The 22,145-nt window shown below is 36.2% G+C and overlaps 1 long non-coding RNA gene across 1 annotated transcript; it reads left to right on the forward strand.

The window, feature by feature from the left end:
• Nucleotides 1-7,796: 7,796 nt before the first annotated feature.
• Nucleotides 7,797-15,592, forward strand: LINC02461 (long intergenic non-protein coding RNA 2461). The gene is made up of 4 exons (NR_146866.1): nt 7,797-8,347; nt 11,875-11,926; nt 13,361-13,450; nt 15,450-15,592. It is a non-coding gene; the product is annotated as a long intergenic non-protein coding RNA 2461 (long non-coding RNA).
• Nucleotides 15,593-22,145: the final 6,553 nt, after the last annotated feature.

A 22,145-nucleotide genomic window follows, 5' to 3' on the forward strand; every position in this document is an offset into this window, starting at 1 on the left:
ATTGAAGGCTATTTCACCATTATAAGTTTTCTTTATAAGTTTTCTGAGAACTAACCTAAGAGTTTAAAATACGTTTTGTGCATTCTGCTAAATAATGCTGGAGATACATAGCACATTTCATAAATAGTTTCATTAAAATTCAAGGGAAAATGTCAAAGATAATCTCTTGCTGCCTATACACAGGAATTTTAAGGTGTACTTTTGGGAATATTTCATTTTTACATATTTCCTGGCTAAAAATATTGAAGCAATGCTTTACCCAGTCAAGTGTGTGCTCTTGTTAGTTCATTTGTTTCTGTTAAAATGGTTCAAATATGACTTTCTGAGGGTAATCTTGGCCCAGCTACGTACTCCTTGAACTCACCTTCAAGTGGCTCTTTGGTGGTCTTCTAGTCAGGGGTTTACACTTGTTTGTTTCTCAGACTTTAGGGGAAAATGTTAATCCTACCCACAGCTCAGCTGCCAAACCCTGAACTTAACTGGACAGAATGCAGCTGTATTCCAGCTACTTGCAAGGAAGTATAATCCCTCTGTTACTCAATACCTTTAAAAGCTCAGCTGGGAAATAATACTTGTGGAGAACATCCTGGAAAACACTCATCCTATCATCTAGAAACTCTCTCTAACCAAAGTTAGGCAAGACAATCCTGGAATTTACAGGTCTTAGGATTCATGAGACTGAATTCTGACAGATCTGCCTATCGTAAGTACAAAATTACTTGCAATAAAATAAGAATGTTGATCATGTGATGGAAAGTTTGCACTATGAATATCAAATGAATTTCTTCTTGGTTTCAGTATCAAAATTAGGTGATTGGTGTGTTTTTGTATTGTGGACAGCCTGAATCATAACTGGCCAATTTTTTTTTTTTTTCTGAGGGTATTAACAAGCTTCCAGACAAGAGTCCCAACTCTAGCAAGTATAGCATAAGAGACTTCATGGCATTAGAGAATCTGTATTGAGGTAATTCCTGATCTCTCCAAACTTCCCTATCCTTAGTTTCCTTTTATCCAATATATCTTAATTTTAAAAACATAGATTATCTTGCCATATTTTAAGTGAATCTGTGGCTTGCTTTCAGTGTCTTTGAGAACAAGAATGGAATACAAATTAATAAATATTCAAATAGACAAGTGCTGGGAAAATAACAAAATTATTGGCCTATTTTTTTTTACCTGCCCTATGATAGGTAGCTGCTCGTAGATTTTAATTTAAAACCTCTAGTAGAATAGCTTTATTCTTTTGAAATAGAAATAGCAATGGCTGTAGATGACTCATAAAAAGATATACCCCTCTGTTATGCAATTATGCAGCCACAGAGGGTTTGCAAGTTTGGGGAACAGGGAGGACACCCCACCCCATTCCCAAGGCCCAAACCTTACTATGCAATTGCTGGGCTTGCAAAAGGAGTGTCTGGTTCTGCCCCCTAGGCCTGAGGCAATGGATTCCTGGCACAGGAACTTTAACTGCCACAGAAACAGTGTTCTAGCTTGTAGTTATGTATGGTGAAAATAGTACTACCATATAGTAGTTTTATACGTGTGTGTGTGTGTGTGTCTGTATGTATACACATGTATATTGGTAGTTTTATGTATATATTATATATAGCACATATATATTAGACACATATAAAATAAGTGTAATTGTTGAGCTTCTATGAATGTCTAATCATAATTTTTGCACCATCATTTCTATGAATAAATGTATCCCATGTAGTTTTACTAGTAAACTTCCTGAGCAGAATTTATTCATGAGCTGGGGACTTTCTTTGCCTATATTTGTACTTAGATCGAATATGATTTGTGGGATGAGTAAATTAACACAGGCTACGTCTGCATTTAACACCAGAGAGGAAAGATAATTAATATTGAAAAGGATCCTATTTGTAGTTACTTAGTAAAGGTATTTTTCTGCTTTATATTTGGCATTTATATTTCTTTACAAAACTCTAAAATCTAAATCCTTATTTATAGTTATCTTTTTACGGTATGGCAAACATATAACTACATTAGAGGACAATTGCAAAATACATAAACTTTCATCTATTTATCAAACCTTCAACTCAACATTACTTAGTAGTAAAGTTAATACTGTCTTAGCTATATTTGGAACTACATTTAAACAAGTAAAAACAAACAGAAATAATTTAAAAAATATATAATTTGTAAAAGGAGTAAAATCTTACACAAAAATGACTCTTAGCTATGTCTATATTGAACAGAAAATGAAATCAAGTTAATATCTCCCTATGTTAACCCTGTTGGCATTATGGTAAATGCCACTCATGAGATGAGGATGGGTGTTCAGAAAGGTTCATGATAGCTCCCAAAAGGTAAGGCCCTGGAGAAATGCGGGGTGGAGAGGGGTGGTGGACAGTAGGGCACTGCAGTGTGTTTCTGCATATGTTTGTGGAAGGAGGTAGGTATGTGTTTGTGTCACAGACAGAGACACAGAGAAAGAAATAGAGAAAGAGAGAGAGAGAGATTGAGACAGAGAGAATAGAGCACTCTTACCCCAGGTAAAGCCTGTGGCAAAAATTTATATATTAACCCTCTGTTGGCAGGGCGTTATCCCAAGAAATCCAGAGTGAGAGAAAAAAGCAGAGTGAGATAGAGAAGAGGGAGGGAGAAGAATAACAAGGAGTCCATTACCAGGTTAACCACAGCTTCACAGAGGCACAGATGGCTGCTTTGTCTGGTGGGACAGCTTCTGGAGGCCATCTACTGCATCTCAGGAGAGTCCACGGGAGTGGGAGAAAGGACAAACCTTTCACCCACTGATTCTTTCCAGTTTCATATCTCTCCTGTGTCTGCTCCATGTTGTGATATTACCCCTGAACCTTTGCTTCATGTTACTGGACAGCTCTGGGAAACCCCTGGTGACAGCTGCATGTGAGGAGCTTCTCAGTGGATGGCAGTGGAGATAGCAGGGACTTTATGATGGCAGGGGATGACCTGAACCATCTCTAGAATCATTGTTGCCAGGGAGAAGGCAGAACCAGGCTGATCTTGGGTGGTGCAGAAACTGAGGTCATTTTACACACTGCAGATAATCTATACTCTTGCATAACCACCATCAATAGCATCATTTATTTACTGCTTACATATATTTACTGCTTACTATATTCCAGGCTTCATTGTCTTAACATTCTACTTAAATTATATTTTCTAATGTTCAAACACATGTAAGAAAAATACTAATGTTATTTCTGTTTTACAGATACATGAGCTGAGACATGGAGGGTGCAAGGTAGAGTTGGGCAAGCTACCCAATAAATCTTGATCACAGAACTTCTGGGCCTTACTGTGCCAAAGTTTCATAGAGCAAATTAAACCCACTGAATGAGGAATGTATTTTAATTTTATTAATTTTCAATGGTGGACTCAAATTATTTCAGAATTCATAATAACTTCTTGTACAACAATTAATTTTTAAGAATAATTTCCAGCTGAGTAGCTTTTAAGGCAGTTTTACAAAGAGTGTCTCCTCTTTTACATTTGCTTCTCTTTTCAAATGTCGTCCTTTTGATTATTTCACTGCAATTTAGCATCTCCAGAAAAAAAAAGGAAGAGAGGAAAGAAATTTAGTAAGCATTCATTTATTATCATAGCCCCAAAATGGCTGATTGTAAAAGGTGGTTTAAATAAAATTTTTAGGAAATCTGAAATCTTCATCTGCCTATCATCTTCCATGATCACAAATAATTTAGTGTTGAGAGTCCCTGGGTGAGGCCAGCTTAGAAATACTCAACTGAAAATTACTACATTCTGACCATTTCTTAGTAGCTTTTGAAAGTATGAAGCACCATGGATAACTTAGCAGCCAGCTAAAAACCAAATGCTATGAGCAATGCCAATTATTTTATTGGCATTCAATTGACAAATAAAATGGGTGGGCTTGGTGTTATGACTAATAATAGCTCACTCAGTTATGCATTTTGTTCACGAAGAAAATTGTACATCTTGACCTTGAGGGAAAATAGTCGTAATTTTGAGGGTAGTCTTAATGTAATTATTACCATCTGGGCCTTCCATAGACTTTCCCCCTGCATTTCTAGTACTGCTAGCAGCCACATTCTTGATTCTGTTACTGAGGATGCCTTGGAATAATAGTGACCTCACAGGAATGATTAATGACTCTTAATCAAAAAATAGGGGAGAGGTTTCCAAGCCTCAGTCTAAGCACTAAATATAATTAGCATATTCACTTTTAGAAGCTAGTCACTATAGTCTGTGCTGTCACTTCTTGACTGAAACTTGTGAATAATTATTTCACATCCCTTAATTTATTGCAGTGACCTCTTTCTGCTGAACATGGTTTTAATTTTGGGAGAAGACTGCCTGTTGCGTGACTTCTTAGGGGCTGCGCTTTTGATGTTGGATAGTTTGTCCTTAGTAATAGTCTAATTATCCCACTGAAGGAGATGTTTTGTTTTCAAAGGGGATTATTCATGGCCTAACTCAGATACCCAAAAGCTGCCAAGTAATAAAGAGATAGTTAAAATTCTAAATCAACTTGCCTAACTAACTAAAAGCCAGTAGTGTTGGTGTTATTTTGTTGACTGCACTATTGCATTCTTCTTGTAGAACTGCATACTTGAAGGGGTGGGGTCTGCTTTGCGTTTCATCTAAAATGGCTTTTATAGCCCTTAGAAAGCTGGAAATCTGCTTCATGTTTAACATCTCTTTCCACAACAATTTAGGTTCATCTTTTTGTTACTTCAGTCACTGGAAAACTTCAATGTTCAGCTGTTGTTTTTTTCAAACCTCAAAGCAATGAAGACCCTCAGTATCTTTTTATATTGAAACATGTTCTAATACAATCTTCTACTGTTGATCTATTACTTTAATATTCAGTCTTTTTTTTTTTTTTTTTGAGGCAGGGTCTCATTCTGTCGCCCAGGCTGGAATGCACTGGCATGACCATAGCTCACTGCAGCCTCCATCTCCCGGGCTCAGGCAATCCTCCTACCTCAGCCTCCCAAGTAGCTGGGACTATGGGGCTGCCCCACCACACCTGGCTAATTTTTAAATTTTGAATTTTAAATTTCTTTTTTTTTTTTTTTTTTTTTTTGAGATGGAGTTTTGCTCTTTTGCCCAGGCTGGAGTGAAGTGGCATGATCTCAGCTCATTGCAACCTCCGCCTCCCAGGTTCAAGCAATTCTCCTGCCTCAGCCTCCTGAGTAGCTAGGATTACATGCACCCACCACCACGCCTGGCCAATTTTTTTGTATTTTTAATAAAGAAAGGGTTTTGCCATTTTGGCCAGGCTGGTCTTGAACTCCTGACCTCAGGTGACCCACCCGCCTCGGCCTCCCAAAGTGCTAGGATTATAAGCATGAGCCACCACGCCCAGCCTAAATTTCTATTTTTTAGACATGAGGGTCTCATTATGTTGCCCAGGCCGGTCTTGAGCTCCTGGACTCAAGTGATCCTCCCACCTTGGCCTCCCAAAGTGCTGTGATTATGGGCCTGAGCCACCAAGTCCTGCATTATATTCAGTCTTAATGTCCCTAGCACCACAACTGAAAGTCCTGCTAGAGTCTTTGATTCTAGTTTTAACCTTATTTCCTAATAAGTAATAAATTATACTTTATTCGACATCTAGCTTCTGCTTTGGTGAGTTGGAAATGTCCCACCTTGTGGGAAACGTGTCTAAGCATTTCTCTTCCCGATTTTGTACTTAGCAAGGGAGAAACTTCTTGATGTCAGGCTGTAGTTTCTGTCTCCCTTCGTCCTCCTCCATCTCCCCACCTAGAGTTAACACAAGATGGGAACAAAAGAAAAACAGTGAATGCCAAAGAAAGACCAGAAGTAAGTACATGAGACAAAAATCCAAGGCAGGAAAAACACTGAAATAATAATAGCACGAAACAATGGAGAATTAAAGAAGAATGGCAAATATGACTGAGTCCTCTAAACAGTTGGCTATAGCTCCACAATGGAAAGTCCTGCTAGGGTCTTTGATTCTGTCCCCTAAACCATCCCAGATAGTTATGTAGCATGTGGCCTCAAAGGAGGGAGATTTTCATCCTTGTCCTAAGGAACATGTTTCTGGGCTTCCCTTATCTCCCTAATCTAATCTTACCTCAAAGCCTGCTGCCACCATTCAGTTATTCTTTTTACCCCTACTCGATATACAAAATAATTATTATTTGTGATATAAAAGTTCTTTTAAGCCCAAGACAGTGACTAAGTTACATCTCAAATATTTTCTAATCAAGATATTCTTATTTTCAAGTACAATATTCCTAGGCCTCTGGTCTGGGTCTCTGTACAGACAACATAGCCGTCACTATGTAGCAAATAATAAAATTAATGTGACTTGCAATATTAATCAACTATTAGACAAAAGTTCATGAGGCGTTGTGCCATTTTTCATGTTAGCAATAGCTTTTAGCATTTTGTTTCTTTATTCCTAAAATATGGAAAAATTCTTTGTCATAGTTGCATTTCAAAATGACCCAAATACTCCTGCCAAAATAAACAACCCTAGGTTTATTTTCATTATAAGTTTCCCTCTCTTTACTGCCCATTGGCTTCATTTTTTAACCTTGTTTTGCCTTTTTTCCCCTCTGAAAACCGAAAATTTAAATTTTCTGGTTTTAAATTTTTTTATGTCTTATTGGAGTTTTAGCTGACTGTAGTCTTTTTCATGTCAGTATTATTCAAGTTTCGGAAAAGTCTCTTTACCATCTATTAACAACTAAATAATTATAAATTGTTGGCCAAAAAAAAGAGAAAGAAGAAAAGAAAAAGAAAGAAAGGAAGAAAGAAAGAAAGAGAAGGAAGGAAGGAAAGAAAGAAAGAAAGAAAGGAAAGAAAGGAAGAGTAGTGGGGGAAAAGAATAAAATTTGCCTGCACCTTTTTGTTGTTTTTTTTTTTCTCTTCTCTTTTTATTTTTTAATTTTGCCTACACCTTTTAAAGCAAAACAATTACATTTTTTCTTTTAGTTTTATAAACTAATGAAATTAATCTGTTCCAACTCAATCAGTTGTTTCATACTGGAAAATGTCACACATCGGGGCTTTTAGGAAGGAATCATTGCCGTGCCTTGGTGAAGGGTGAGTATGGCTTTAACAACTGCTGGTGGAGGAGCCTTGGAGGAAAGAACAGGATAGTAAATGCAATTGCTTGTCTCCTGAGAGTTAACTCACAGTCCAGATGTCCTACCACCTATCTACCTGTAGTCTGAAGGCACTTTGTGAGTAATAAAAGCATGTAAATTGTAAATTCTTCTCCTTTTCTCTTTCAATATCTTACAATGTATCAATGACAATTGCTATTGTTATTGGTAACAGGTTGATGTCATACCGAAGGCTTTGGAGCCAAAAAAGCTTGTGTTTGAACTCCGGCCCCACCATTGTATGGTCTTAGACAAATGACTTAACCTCTTTAAGCCTTGATGTCCATACTGTAAAAAACGAGACAATAAAACCTACTTATTGTAAGGATATAATGACATTATTAACATATCTATTCTATTGCCTGATGCATAGCATAAGCTCAAAAATACTAGTTTTCCTATTCTAAAATGTTTAAAAAAAATTATAATCCATACCTCTTCTACTTCAGAAAGTGTTTTAATACATAAAAGCAGTGATTTAGCAATATCAAATCGAAGTTTGAGAGCCAGAAGAACTTGGAGGACCATTGATTTTAAAGGTTTCTTTGTTTTTTATGAACAACAGGAATTTCCTCTTATGTCTTCAGAACCTTGAGTTTACCAGGAAGACAAGGTGACTGAGATACTTCTTTAAGCCCAGAAACTGAAGAAGGCAGCTGTCAGGGATGGCTTGGAATGTTCTACAAGGTTTATATCAACTGAGGGTTGAAAAATCCTACTTATCCACTCTCCTTACTTTAGAGATGAGGAATTTGAATCTTAGAGAGTTTATGACTTATCCAATTGGTGGTATTACCGAAAACCAAAAGCCAGTTTGCTTCCTAGTTGAATGTTCTTTCCATCATGCCATGTGGAGTTATTTTGAGTCAACCAGAAAATCTGCAAGGACATCAAAATAATGTTCTTTCTCCCTCTGACCTCAGTAATAACCGGTTAAAGATTTAGAATGCTTTAGAGTAAATCCTCAAAGCAGCTGCAGGTCCTCAATGTTCCAGAATAGATATTTTAAGTTCTCCAAATAAAAAATCCCAATAAAGACCTTCTTTTTGCAGTAACTAAAAAAGTTTCCAGCTCTCCTGTCACAAAGTGGCTATTGAGACTTCAAATGTCAGATGATCTCCTTTGAAGCAGCAAAATAGAGTGGATAGAACTCCAGGATGGATGTCAAAAAACTCTGTGATCCTAGTTCTAACTCAAATTTACCTTTCATATGGTATGAGGTAAGCTTTAGATATCTCTGGATTTGAAGTTATTTTTGACTCCTATTTTTCTCACACACTGGTGTGTGTCCATATCTAGCCCAACAGCAAAACTTGGTGGTGCTATATTCAAACTGTATCCAGAATCTGACCACTACTCACCACTGCCACTGCTACCACCTTCATCCAAACCATCATTGTCTCTCCTCCGGATAATGGAAGAAGCCTCCTAATGAGTCCATCTGCCTGCTTCTCCCTTTCCTTCTCTGCACATCAGTAATTCCAGAGTTTGTCAGTGACACTTTCATAATTGACTTGTTCTTCACTTGGTAATCTTAATTTGTTCCTAAAAATCCTCCCACAAAGTAAAATGCCATTATGTGAAAAAGCGTTTTTATGAATTTGAATTTAAAAATTTAGGAAGCATTTTATCCCAACCCAACATACCCAAAGCATTTTTATAGATAGGAAAATATTTTAACTGAACAATAGAAATATTTTTCAATTGTCATGACATTATATAAGTAATGAACATCAAATTGAAAATAAAATAGAGTTTGTTCATAAAATGTAATAACATGAAGGTTTATGTGATGGTGAGTGCTGGTTGGTGGGGGAGTGTTAAAGGCAGTTGTTCTTTGTAAGGTATATTTTGCTCTCTGAACAATTTTGTTTATGAATGTTTTCAACCATTTGGAGGATCATGGTTAACTTGCACTTACAGCACACTTAACATTTAAAGTTATAGCAGAGAAGACAATTTCAGTCAAAATAATAGCTGAAGATGAGAGCACTTGGAAAGATGTGAAAATTTATTTAGTACACAGAGACAGAAAAATTACAAAAGATGTTACCTCATCATCCCTCTCTCTAGTCATACTTAGACAAAATGAAATACTTTCAGTTTATCCAAACACGGCACTCAGTTCAAATTTGTTCTGATATTCAATGATTAAGAACTGATGACTAAGAACTGTTAGAATAAAAATAGCATATTTTCCCAAAAGCTGCAGTGTCAAAATATCATGCTTATTTACTTTATATGTTTTAGAGTATCTATCTATCTATCTATCTGTGTGTGTGTGTGTGTGTGTGTATATATATATATATATGTATTTTAGAAGAAGTTGTTTGGAAAAGGGTAACTTCTCAAGAGACTTTATGGCAAAAGGTTGTTAACTAAATAGGTTCTGTGGGTGTAAGTCTGTGTTTACCAGTCTTTTTATCAAGGTTTCTAATTCTTTGTTAGGTGGTGTAGGACACTGCTGGCTTGTGTATAACCCAGGAATCAGAACATAGGGCAGAATGTCCACCTAACACAGTTCATGTTATTTCTTGAGTTCCAGTTATACACCACGTATCCTGATAAAACAAGTCATACAAGAAAAGGGCTATTATCACCCTCAAGGAGTCCTCAGCCTAGTTGGGGAGGCAGTAGGGCGGATGTATAAACTCTATAATATTATGAGTACTGCAATACAGAGTGTTCTGGGGCAGACAGGAGGGAGTCCCTAATTATCCCCAGGGTAGGGTGGAATTGTCAAGGGGCAACATAGAAGAAGAAACATCTAAAGTGAACCTTGAAAGTTCAGATATCTGGAAATGGAGGGAAGGTGGAGCAGGGTTGTGGGCATTCTAGGCAGAAGGATTGTGTTTACAAAGGAATAGAGTTGTGAAAAGGAACCTTTCTTCAAGAAATAGGACCTCTCCATTAAGAAACTTTCATCAACTCTGATTGTTCTTTGTTTCATATTGGGGCAACACCTACTGAGAGGTTGAATAAGGAGAAACATTGATCACCATCTCTATGTATAAGGATGTTGTGAAAATATCATCACTATTTGGCTTATCTGTTGTTGCAAGACAGTTCATCCCAAACTTAAAGGCATAAAACAACAACCATTTTATAATTGGATTAGTCCATTCTCACATTGCTATAAAGAAATACCTGAGACTGTGTAGTTTATAAAGGAAAGAGGTTTAATTGGCTCACAGTTCTGCAGGCTGTACAGAACCATGATGGTTTCTGCTTCTGGGGAGGCTTCAGGGAGCTTCCAATCATGGCGGAAGGCAAAACAACAGGCATATCACATGGCAGGAACAGAAGCAAGAGAGAGAGCGGGGAGGCGGCACATACATTCCAATAACCAGATCTCACAATCCCACTCACTCACTGTCATGAGAAAAGCAGCAAGAGGATGGCGCTAAACCATTCATAGACCACCTCCATGATTCAATTACCTCCCACCAGGCCCCACCTTCGACATTGGGGATTACTATTTGACATGAGTTTTTGGTGGGGACAAAAACCTAGACCATAGGAATTATGCTTATGAATTATGTGGCTTAGGAATTTGAACAAAGAAGAGTAGAGAGGGCTTATCTCAACTTCATAGTATCTGGGTACTCCCCTAGGAAGATTAGAGCAGCTGGGCGTGACTCAAATGGATAGAGGTAGCTTAAATACCTGGAGACTGAAATCATCTGGAAGCTCCTTTACTCACATGTGTGGCACCTAGGCTGAGATAATTTGAAGGCTGGGTTCAACCAGAGCACCTACACAGAAATCTTCTAGGTTGTCTGGGCATCTCCCAGCATGGAGGCTGGATTCCAAGAGGAAGTGCCCTTAGAGGAAACACCCTAAACAACAAGAGTTCCAAGAGAACCAGATGGAAGCTGCATAGTCTTTCCTGAAGTAGCCTCAAATGTTGTAGAGTGTTACTTTCCCCATATTCTATTTGTTGGAACAGTTCCAGTTGAAGGAGAGATCTCATAAACCCTATCTATGTATCAGGAATGTCAAAGGATTTGTAGCCATTTATTCAAATTGCTATATTTGTCACATTACAAAATGTTCATCTATTATACTATCATATTTTCTCTGTAGGTTTCTAGGGGAGAAATTTCTTTCTGGTGTAACTGTCAGGTAAAATAAACTTTTTTGAGAAATTGGTATATTTTTACTTTGCGGTCACTTGAATTTTTTAAATTTCTCCTTCAAATTTGGTGAACTTTGAATATCTGTATAAGTTGTTATTTAAAATGTTTTTTGAGGAAGACAAAGTGTATATAAACAACTAAAATCTGTTTGTAGATGATTGTGGTTTGAATTTCATGTGTATTGGAAGTAAGGGCAGAAGGTGAAGATATGAAGACAGGTAAGGAGGGACTGGACCGGAAAGGCTGTGTGTGTCCTGCTAAGGACCGAGGCAGTGTAATTTACATAATTGTTATCTAGCTTTCGTTTCACCATCTTTCTATTTTTCACTTTAACATTGTGATTTAAGCACTAGCTTTTACAAAATTGCTTATTGAGGTAAACTAGAGTAGAACTCTGTGGTGAAGGAGCCATTCTATTTTTTATTTTTAATGTGTCATTGACTGAGATTTTTTGCAAAACATAAGAAGAAATTACAAGAAAAATGAAATGAAAAAAGACATAAAAATACAAGTCCAATTTTTTATTAGATTCAACAGTTACAAAATTACTATGTCATGTTGCTATATGGTTTCTAAATGTTTACCTTTAATTTCTGTATTTATCTCAGGTTGGCAACAAATGATTCATGGACCACCACTCATCTATAGACCAGACATTAGGTAACAATGCCCTAGAGGATTAAATTTATGGAGAAAGAATCTCATTTTTCATACCTTGATCTCTTACCCCAAAACACAATTGCAATATACCCTGGGTGACCACCTCAGTCATTTTTCCAGCTTGTTTTTTTGTTTGTTTTATCAAGACTTGCATACAGCTTTCACTCAGTGATTTATGCAGAAAGGTTGGATTGCTCCAAATTGTCTAGGGATTTATTGGTGCCTTGCCCGTTGTTTAGCCTCAGCTGGTATTCCAGGCCTGGAACAAGTCTTCTGGTACTTAAGCAATGGCATATGCACACAATGCTCATAATTTATAGGCAGTCTTGTCCTTCATCCCACACTGCCTGCATTAAAAGATAAAGAGAAAATGGATCTATTTGAATTCTGTATGGGACGAAAGTAGAAGGTGGTTGTACATTGATGCCATATTATATTTGCCAAAAGAAAATTCTAAAAATATCATGTCTATAGAAAAATGTGTGTAGCTGAAGTATTTTTCTTTTAATAAAGTGACTGAATTATTGCTAGAGTTTTGTGGTAGACTACATGCTACATGGATACTTTCCAAACTCTTTTTCCAAGAAAGAGAAAATAATGCAGTTTCAATTGATATCAGAAGAATTTGCCAATCTTGGATGCCTCTTGAGGTTTGGCAACATGAGATTTGCATAACATTTCCCAAAGTGCATTTCAAGGGATTGGAGCTTTCTTATCCTGATTCTCATCCTTCAATAGACAGTTTCTCAGAATAAGACATTAATGAGAAAACTATGGTATACTAGCCCAGCGAACACAAGTATATTATCAACTTGTTTACAGGTTAGTTTCCCTAAATGTAATTGTTAACTCTTATTGTACATTGAAAACCTGGAGGAATTTTTAAAATGCTGGTGCCTGGGTCTTATTCCCAAACCTGAATTCATTGTTCTGGAATAGAAGCTGGGCATGAACATTTTTTAAAAGCTCATATAATAATTCTACTGTTCATCAAGGTTAAGAATCACTGTCTAAAACTAATACAATGATGGAAGAATCAATATAACTGGGGTCAAATTCTAGTCTCATTATGTTACAAGAAAATGTTGCTTCAATAATTGATGAAACTAATATATCGGTTTAATAAATTTATTGTTATATGTAAATACCCAATCAATTTGAGAAATCAAAATATGACAATAATTTACTGAGCACCATTACAGAATAAGTACATTTTCCAGTTGATATGGTTTGGCTGTATGTCCCCACCCAAATCTCACCTTGAATTGTAATCCCCATGTGTTGGGGGAGGGCGTGGTGAAAGGTGATTGAATCATGGAGGCGGACTTCCCCCTCACTGTTCTTGTGATAGTGAGTGAGTTCTCATGAGATCTGGTTGTTTGAAAGTGTGTGGCACTTTCCCCTTCACTCTCTCTTTCTCCTTCTCTGCCATAGTAAGATGTGCTTGCTTCTCCTTCGCCTTTCACCATGACTGTAAGTTTCCAGAGGCCTCCCAGTCATGGTTCCTGTTAAGCTTGCAGAACGGTGAGTCAATTAAACCTCTTTTCTTCATAAATTACCCAGTCTCAGGTAGTTTTTTTATAACAATGTGAGAAAGACTAATACACCAGCTTGTTCTCACAATATTAAGGCAGTTAGTTTATTATTACGATTTTTAGAATTAAAGACATTGAGGTACAAACAGCTCTTGAAAATGGTCTAGTGCCATTTTTAAAAAGGGAAGAGCAGAAGGTCATATCTTGAGCTTTTTACTTTGAAGTCTAATATCATTTTATTTATTGAATACTTACTATTTTGAAGTAAATGATTGTTTTCCACTAATACTTTTGGCTCAAATTATGCCACCGCTCTACCACCAGCCACCACCTCCCCAAAAATCAATCGGTTCTGAATTAAAACTTTAGCTTTTGAGTTATTCTTAATTTTCCCCTGGTCCATTTCTAACTTTAAGCATTTTCTCCCATTGTTTCCCATTTGAACATGGCTTCTTGTGGGCTACCTTCTGGTACAGAAATCTGGCTTCAGGGGTGAACTCCTTGGTCCTTTAACTTGGTTTTTTTTTTTTTTTTTTGAACCTGACTGCTTTTGCATTGGGAAAACCACTCTATAAAACACCTGTGGCCTGGTGTGGTGGCTCACGCCTGCAATCCCAGCACTTTGGGAAGCCGAGGTGGGCAGAATACAAGGTTAGGAGTTCGAGACCAGCCTGACCAACATGGTGAAACCCCATTTCTATTAAAAATACAAAAACTAGCCAAGTGTGGTGGTGCACACCTGTAATCTCAGCTACTCAGGAGGCGGAGGCAGGAGAATCACTTGAACCTGCAAGGCAGAGGTTGCAGTGAGCTGAGATCGGGCCATTTTACTCCAGCCTGGGTGACAGGGCGAGACTCTGTCTCAAAAAACAAAACAAAAGAAACATCTGCCACACACAAGTTCTAACTAAAAACATGGATAAAACAGTCAAAATCTTAACACTTAAATGACATTACTCCATCTTCTAAATGAGATCCCCATTTTATACAAGCACAAATTCAAATAAAACTGAAGAAGGTAACCATCAGTGACACAGCCAAAAAATATAAATTTCCATGTTGCTTCCTTTACATTTCCACTCCTGCATAGGGCAAACAGAAATGTAAAAACAGAAATTTTAACCTCTATTTTCCATCATTAACAGGGCATGGGGATTATTCATGCGTTTGTTGGTTTAGTTGGTGAATGTGGTGTTTATGAGGTCCCTACAACAGAATAAAATTGCCTTAAGAGCTAGTTAGCTTCTTAAAAAAAAAACACCCTTTTATGGTCACTAACTAGAACACCAGCTGTGCTTCACAAATGCACACCACTGGTCACAAATAAAGCAAGAAAATGTAATTGCAGTGGCACAACCAATTGACGTTACCAGGAAAACACAATCATAACCAAGAAACCACCAGCTGCCAACACGCTAAGAAAGACAGAGTTTTGACAGGCAAATATATCTCTCATTAGTTGAATGTAAAATTCTCCATTGCTAATGATTACTATGCAAGTCACAGTTAGTGTGTTATTTTTAATATAATTTTTAATTGACAAGTAATTATATCTATAATGGGGTACAGGATGATGTTTTGATATATGTATACATCGTGGAACATTGATCTCATTTATAAGTAAAATCTAAAAAAGTCAAACCGTGGAAGTAGGGAGTAGAATGTTAGGTTACCAGAGACTGAGTGGGTGGGGTGGGGAAAGGGGAGATTTTGATCAAAGGGTACAAAGTTTCAGTTTGACAGGAGGAATACATTTTAGTAATCTATTGCACAGCATGGGAATTATAGTTAGTAATATGTATTGTATATTTCAAAATTGTTAAAAAAGTAGATTTTAAATGTACCCATCATAAAAAAGTTTAAATATGTGAGATGGTGGATGTATTAACTAGTGTCTTATTTTTAAATAATACATGTTACTCTGAAGTTGAGTTTTTATAATGTAAAATGTTATGAATATTTAAAAATATTTTCAATTATTTGATCAGTGCACACAACCTGGAGCAAAGAGATGTCAACGTAGACTTGAAAGCCTCAACAAACATCTATACATTCAAAATTCAGAGGATAATTGCAGACTTACATGTTAAATGATGCCACAGGCTTGTGGTGAATGTACAAATCTAATTCCCTAAACCTATGATACTACAGCTGACCCTTGAACAACATGGGTTTGGACTACACGGTTCCAGCTATACACGATGTTTTTCAGCCAAACACAGATCAAAAATGCAGTATTTGTGGGATATGGAACTTACCTATATGGAAGGCTGACTTTTCTTATACTTTGGTTCCATGGGGCTGACTGCAAGATTTGAGTATGCTTGTATTTTGGTATACTCAGGCCAGCGCCCTGGAATCAATTCCCTGCATATACCCAAGGATGGTTGCATTTAGATAATCGGAGCATTACAATGCCATTTGTTATGCAAAGAACAGCTTCTATAATTTGTGAAATTTCAGTGAAAAATAAAATATAAAGATTTCACTCTATTAAACTCTATTATTACTAAGAAAATGAGAACTGAGTCTCAAAGGTAGTTAATACAACGTATTGATCCAGCAGAAATAGCTATTCCTATGAATGCCAAAATGATTAGTCACTTTGTTATTAAATCAGCCTCACTGATTATTTTAGATATTATAAACGGAAGTGATTTTCAATTTTCAACCCAACCAGATGTTATTGGCGTGCATCAAACACAGATAAGAGTGAATCTACTCAGAAGAAAATCAAGGAGAATATAGCTAAAAATATGCTATGAGGCTAATGTTCTGTTTAAAGAAAGGCTTATTTGATATTTCTATAGTGTTGAATGACATTTTCCGGAAAAAAAATTGTTAAATTTTAAATAGATTATATAATGTAATACCAAAATTATTTCAATAATGTTATTAGAAATATGCTTTTTTTTTTTTTGAGACGCAGTCTCACTCTGTCACCTAGGCTGCAGTGCAGTGGCATGATCTCAGCTCACTGCAACCTCTGCCTCCTGAGTTCAAGCAATTCTCCTGCCTCAGCCTCCCAGGTAGCTGGGATTCCAAGCGTGCACCACCATGCCCAGCTAATTTTTGTGTTTTCAGTAGAGACAGGGTTTCACCATGTTGGCCAGGCTGGTCTCAAACTCCTGACCTCAAGTGATCATCCCGCCTCAGCCCCCCAAAGTGTTGGGATTACAGGCATGAGCCACCACACCTGGCCAGAAATATGCATATTTTTGATTTTGCATTTTCTAGTCCATGTTTTCCATCATAAAATAGGTTTTTCCAAAAATTGAATTATTTACAAAAATTTAAAAAAATCCTTCATCTTTAGAATGTATTTTTTGAATTATCATTCGTTATACCAGAAGATACTTAATTTAAGAAACACATAATTTCCTTATTAATATTCTACAATAAATTTCTTAGGCTCATTGTTCTTTAATATATAGGCAAAAATATTTGGTGATTTCTTAAACAATTGGGTCCAAATACTGCCTTAATTTCATTTCCTACCAATGAATTCATTCCCTTAAAACCAGAGAGATTCCAGTTTTTTACACACGTTCCCCAAGAAACTGAATATTTTAGGCTTACCACAAAACAGACAGTAATAAAATTATAAAAGCAGAGATGTACAAACATGACTCCAGAGGTCTCAAAATGTCTCTAACAGGGGATGCCTGACATTATGGCAAACTAAGCTTGCTAGATATTCAGCTTCTTACCACAAACACATTAAAAAATCATGACTAGAAGATAAAGATAAAATATTTAAATAAAGACATTTTAATTACATACGTTAGCTCAAAAGAAAAAAAAAAGTGAAACATCTAAGCCAGAAGGATTAAATACATTTATATTCTGGCCACTTCTGGGGGAGTTGCATCCTGTTCTAGGTTTGGGACACTGGAGTTCTAATATTTTTAAGGACACAAAAGATGACTCTTCTAGCATGTGAAGACAGAAGAAACTGGAACTGAACCCCTTACATAAAACCTAGAGCCTTTCAGATCTGTCCTATTGTTAATAGGAGAATAGAAAAAATGCCACAGAATGATCTGAGTAAGCAGCAATATAGCTCATCTTGCTCAAGAGCTATTTTATGAAAAGAAAATAAGAGTCACAGGAGAAATCAAAATTCCAATAAAGATGTGAGCCCAGGTCTTTCTTATTTCAAAGCTCTTGATTTTTGCTTTGGTCTCTGCTGGCCTTCCTTTCTCTGAATTGTCTTTATGTTATGTAGAGTAAAGAGAGTTTTATTCTTGAACCCAGAACCAAAGCTATACACAAACTATTCTCACAACTTTTTTTTTTAAAGACATGCCATCCTATCGACCTTGTTAAATGATTTTTTTTGGAATGATAGGGCATTCCTCCTACTTTTCCTGCAATTATTTTCTAGCATAGATCTCAAAGATCTGCAAACTAGTAAACAATAAACCTAAAGCAGTAAAAACTTCAGACCCCTGCATCCAAGCTTAATTAAGTCAGAAATTGAATTCCATTATGTCATGGGATATGCCCTAGAGAATTGTATTGATTCTCTCCTCTACGCCCAAATGCACTTGAGCTAAAAGGCATCTTTGCAATCACAAAGCATCCCAGCCTGGAGAAAGCTATATTTTGAGAAAGAATGTAGGTAGGTATTCATATTAGATGTGGGAATCAAAGTCACCTTAAGTACAATCTTGATGTTACACTTGTGTTTTAAAAAAATGGGAAGTTGGAGATGAACTCGTTCATGGAGCTCAGAATTATTTGCTGTTTGACCAATATTGTACCATATAAGCCGTGTTATCTGTAAAACTATACATTCATGTATTAAATATGTATAAAAGGTAAGAGGATTGTTCTTTTATTGTGCACACATTTCCATGAGCTGCAAAGATGAGAATGTGATGGATGTAATAATACAGACAACAAATTTGTGGTTGTATGGGGAATATTCACTGCACCCACTGGAATTGATTCTAGGCTAGAATCTATAACTATTAGATGTAAGCATGTAGAGACCATCTCATTTTATTCCTAGTAACTGGCATTTCTTCCCACCAGGGTTTATCCTGAAGCTGATGATTGAAAAATGAATCCTCAAACGTAAGATAACTGTTAAATACACCCACCCAATAGACTAATTGAAATATAATAACACAGTTTACAGGAATTAATTCTAGAGTAATTTACAAGCTGGGGAAACTTAAATCAGGGACCCTAATCCAAAAGCAATATGGAATAGAATGGTGTTTTCTAAATCATAGTTGTTATGATAACACTTTCATGATTTTTCCATGTAAAATTTCTGAACTATATTTAATATTTTATTTAAAATCTACTCATTCTTTTTGTTAAGTACACTTATTTTAAGAAGAACTTTCATACTTCTGCCATATGTAAAAGTGGTGTCACCTGCTGTTCCATATTTGATGATCCACAAACATCTGTGACACTATTCACAGCTACAGTTTTAGGTAAGGATGTCTCACTACTTGTGAAACCCAGAAGGCTGCCAAGTCTATCCAGTGGTGCCTTTCAGCATGCTGCTGGGTTAGTGTACATGATGAACAGATAGCATATTGAATGGTGCCTGGGATGTCAAAGGAGCCAAGGTTACATGCCACCTAAAGTCATCTCGCATATTATCTCTAGTATGGATACCATCAAAAGAAAAGAGACCTCAATTAGGAGTTCAGAAACCTAGGTTTCTGAGGCTAGTCCCAGTTCTACTAATAACTTACCTTGCCTTCGGGAAAGTCACATACCTCTCTGGAACTTCTCATTTGTAAAATGAGAGCTTCTTGGAACTTCTCATTTGTAAAATGAGAACAAACTCTGCCCTGCCTCCTCCAGAGCAAGATTTTTAGGATTAAATGAGATGGTCTGGTGGAAGTGCTTTGGAAATTCTAAAATGCAAGCTATACATAAGCAAACCTTATTGTGTGTGCTTCTGCAAGCATGAAATGCCTGGTCAATGACTGGCAATGGGTGCACTTGAAAACATGTTGAAAATTTTGAAGCGATATAAAAATGAAGTATTACTACTGTTTTCTGGCCGCAACTTTTTTTTTGGCGCAAGCACAAAGTCAGCCAGCATTCATGCACTCTGTAGGTCTCATAACAGAACAAAGTGTACCTGTGTTTTCAAGACTTTAATCTTTGCAGCACAACTCTGTAATAACAATTAATGGATATTAAACATCACTGTCTCACTGCGATTTCTGCCATCTTGTACAAGATTCCCTTGCTATGCTACGCGATCTTCCACCCTGTATGTTTTTGCATTTCTCCCTTCTTACCTCCACTCTTGCCCACTCCACTTCTCTTGATTTCCATCTATTTCTTCCTCAGATTTTGTTTAGCTTATTTTTTTCTTTTATTTTTGTCTGTTATGAGTCCACACTCAATATCCTACATTGCATCTCTTGTTCATCGACATATTTTCCCAAGTAGAGAGTTAACTCTCTAAATACTGTTTACAGCTGCCAATGTAAACATAAAGGAATATAATCCTTAATAAAAATATAAGTAATGTATAAACAATAAAAATACTACTCAAAATTATTGAGAACTTACTATGTGCTGCGCACTTTTTTATGTGATTTATACAAATGAACCCATTTAATCCTCTTAAAAGTACTTTGATCTAGGTATTATTATTTTATCCATTTTATATATAAGGAAACAGAAGCCCAGAGACATTACATATATTACCCAAAATTACATAGCTGTTAAGTATTAGAGCCAAAGTTCAAACTCTGACATTTTTACTCCAGAGTTTATGCTCTTAATATTATGATACAATGCACCCAAAACATGTGAAAACTGCTCCTATTAAATCTCAGGAACACACGCTACTCATTCTCTCAAAACAAATACTATGGAGAATTATATTCCATGAAAAATGGCTTCATGCCAGTAATAAGAAAACAAAAAGTACAGAGATGGTCCTAAATAGATTGCAATACAATTGGAGAAAGAAATGTGAATCTAATGAATGAAACTTCATTTTATGTCGCTAATATCTTTTGAATTTAAATGGAGATTTCCAGTTCTTTCACAGATAAACAATAGCATAGACATTTTCCTTTCATCTAAATTAATGAGTTTGGCTGTGTTTTTCAACGAATGTTAAAAATAGAAAGTATGACACATTGTATATATATTCTTTTTTTTCCTAATTACCAGTTTGTAAAGGAAAAGTGTTGAATAGGTAACTCAAAGTTTCAGAGAATTGAAATTGATGCTGGAAAGTAATTTTTTACAATTATGATTAACTTTTTCAATGGAGGCTTGTGTGTGTGTGCGTGTGTGTGTCTGTGTGTGTCTGTGTCTACCATCTGCAATCTTCTGCTCCAAAGAGAGGGCACCTACAATTTGTCCAGGATAGTCTACACTCAGTCAATAAATGTTGTAAAATTTATGACAGTCAAATATAGATAAAACAATTCTCTAAGTTCTAATAGTAGCACATGTTTTATACACGTTAACTTGCAATTTGGATAGATAACTTCTTAGAAAAGTATTTTTTAATGACAAACTCATCTATGCAAACCAGAAAAGGTGTTACAAAGCTGAGTTAAGATAGGGAAAAGGTGAAAACAATTATCTACCTTTACAGCATAAAAAATAATCATGATGTAAATTAGATTCTTTAGATAGGGAATAAATTAGCATTCACCCTTAAATAATAGCTTAAAAGCAGACTACCTTCATAACTTCAGAAGTAAGGCAGGATGAACACATCCCTTTGCTTTGTTTGACACATTGGACAGATCGAAGTGTGCAATGATCAGAGAGTTTGATGGTGGTTAGAGCCTAAGTTTGTTTTTCTATCTTCCTTTCTCATACTGTCTTCACGGGAGAGTGTCCATATGTATTGATCTTTCTTCACTAGTGGGCTTTCTTCTTACTGCTCTTCTTTGAGAGTTCTTAATTCTTTCATAAGTTATCACACTCCAACAAAGGAACAACCCAACCAAAGTGTAATAATTCTGCTGTATGTGGGAAAGCATGTTTGCTTTGAAGAATTCTTCCTAGCTTGCCAGAAAGCCTTTCTCACAAAAGAGAAAGTTATTTCTACTAGGTTGAGTTTATGTGTTTTTGTCTTATGTTTCTAGATACTTAATATGAACTTGAGAAACTTTGAGAAGTTTGGAATTTCGTGAATTATGTGTGATTCAGGAAAATAAACAAAATTTATCTAATTCAAACACGAAGACATGATTAACTTTAGAGAACTTGTTGACATTTTCAATGTGCACATCAAGGATTAGAAGATATATAAGGTAGGAAGTAAATGTCAGGAGAGAACAATTGTGGTTTGCTAAACACTGCATAAAGCCTAGGTTTTATGCTGTTTATATATCTTTACTGCTTTTTTTGAGCTCATAAAATCATGAAGTGTCCTGAGCTGAATTAATAGATGTTCTGTGTGGGTGTAAGGAAGTCATTTTAAAAGTATCATCTTGCAAGATGTTTAGTTTTTAATTATCAATGACAAAGAAGAACAGGGACAAGATTACCTCATTTACCACTAGGTAATCTTTCATTTTAACACATTTAAAATGTTTTCATTTGACATCTACAGCCAGACTAAATGGTGGGCATCTATACAGAGGGCTTAGATTCAAAGGTAGAGGCATCTATATTTTCAGGACTGTAACTTAGTACCCACATTTAAACTGATTTTATAATATCGAATA

This window comes from Homo sapiens, chromosome 12 (genome assembly GCF_000001405.40).
Source record: "Homo sapiens chromosome 12, GRCh38.p14 Primary Assembly".
In the NCBI taxonomy this organism is placed as follows: domain Eukaryota; kingdom Metazoa; phylum Chordata; class Mammalia; order Primates; family Hominidae; genus Homo; species Homo sapiens.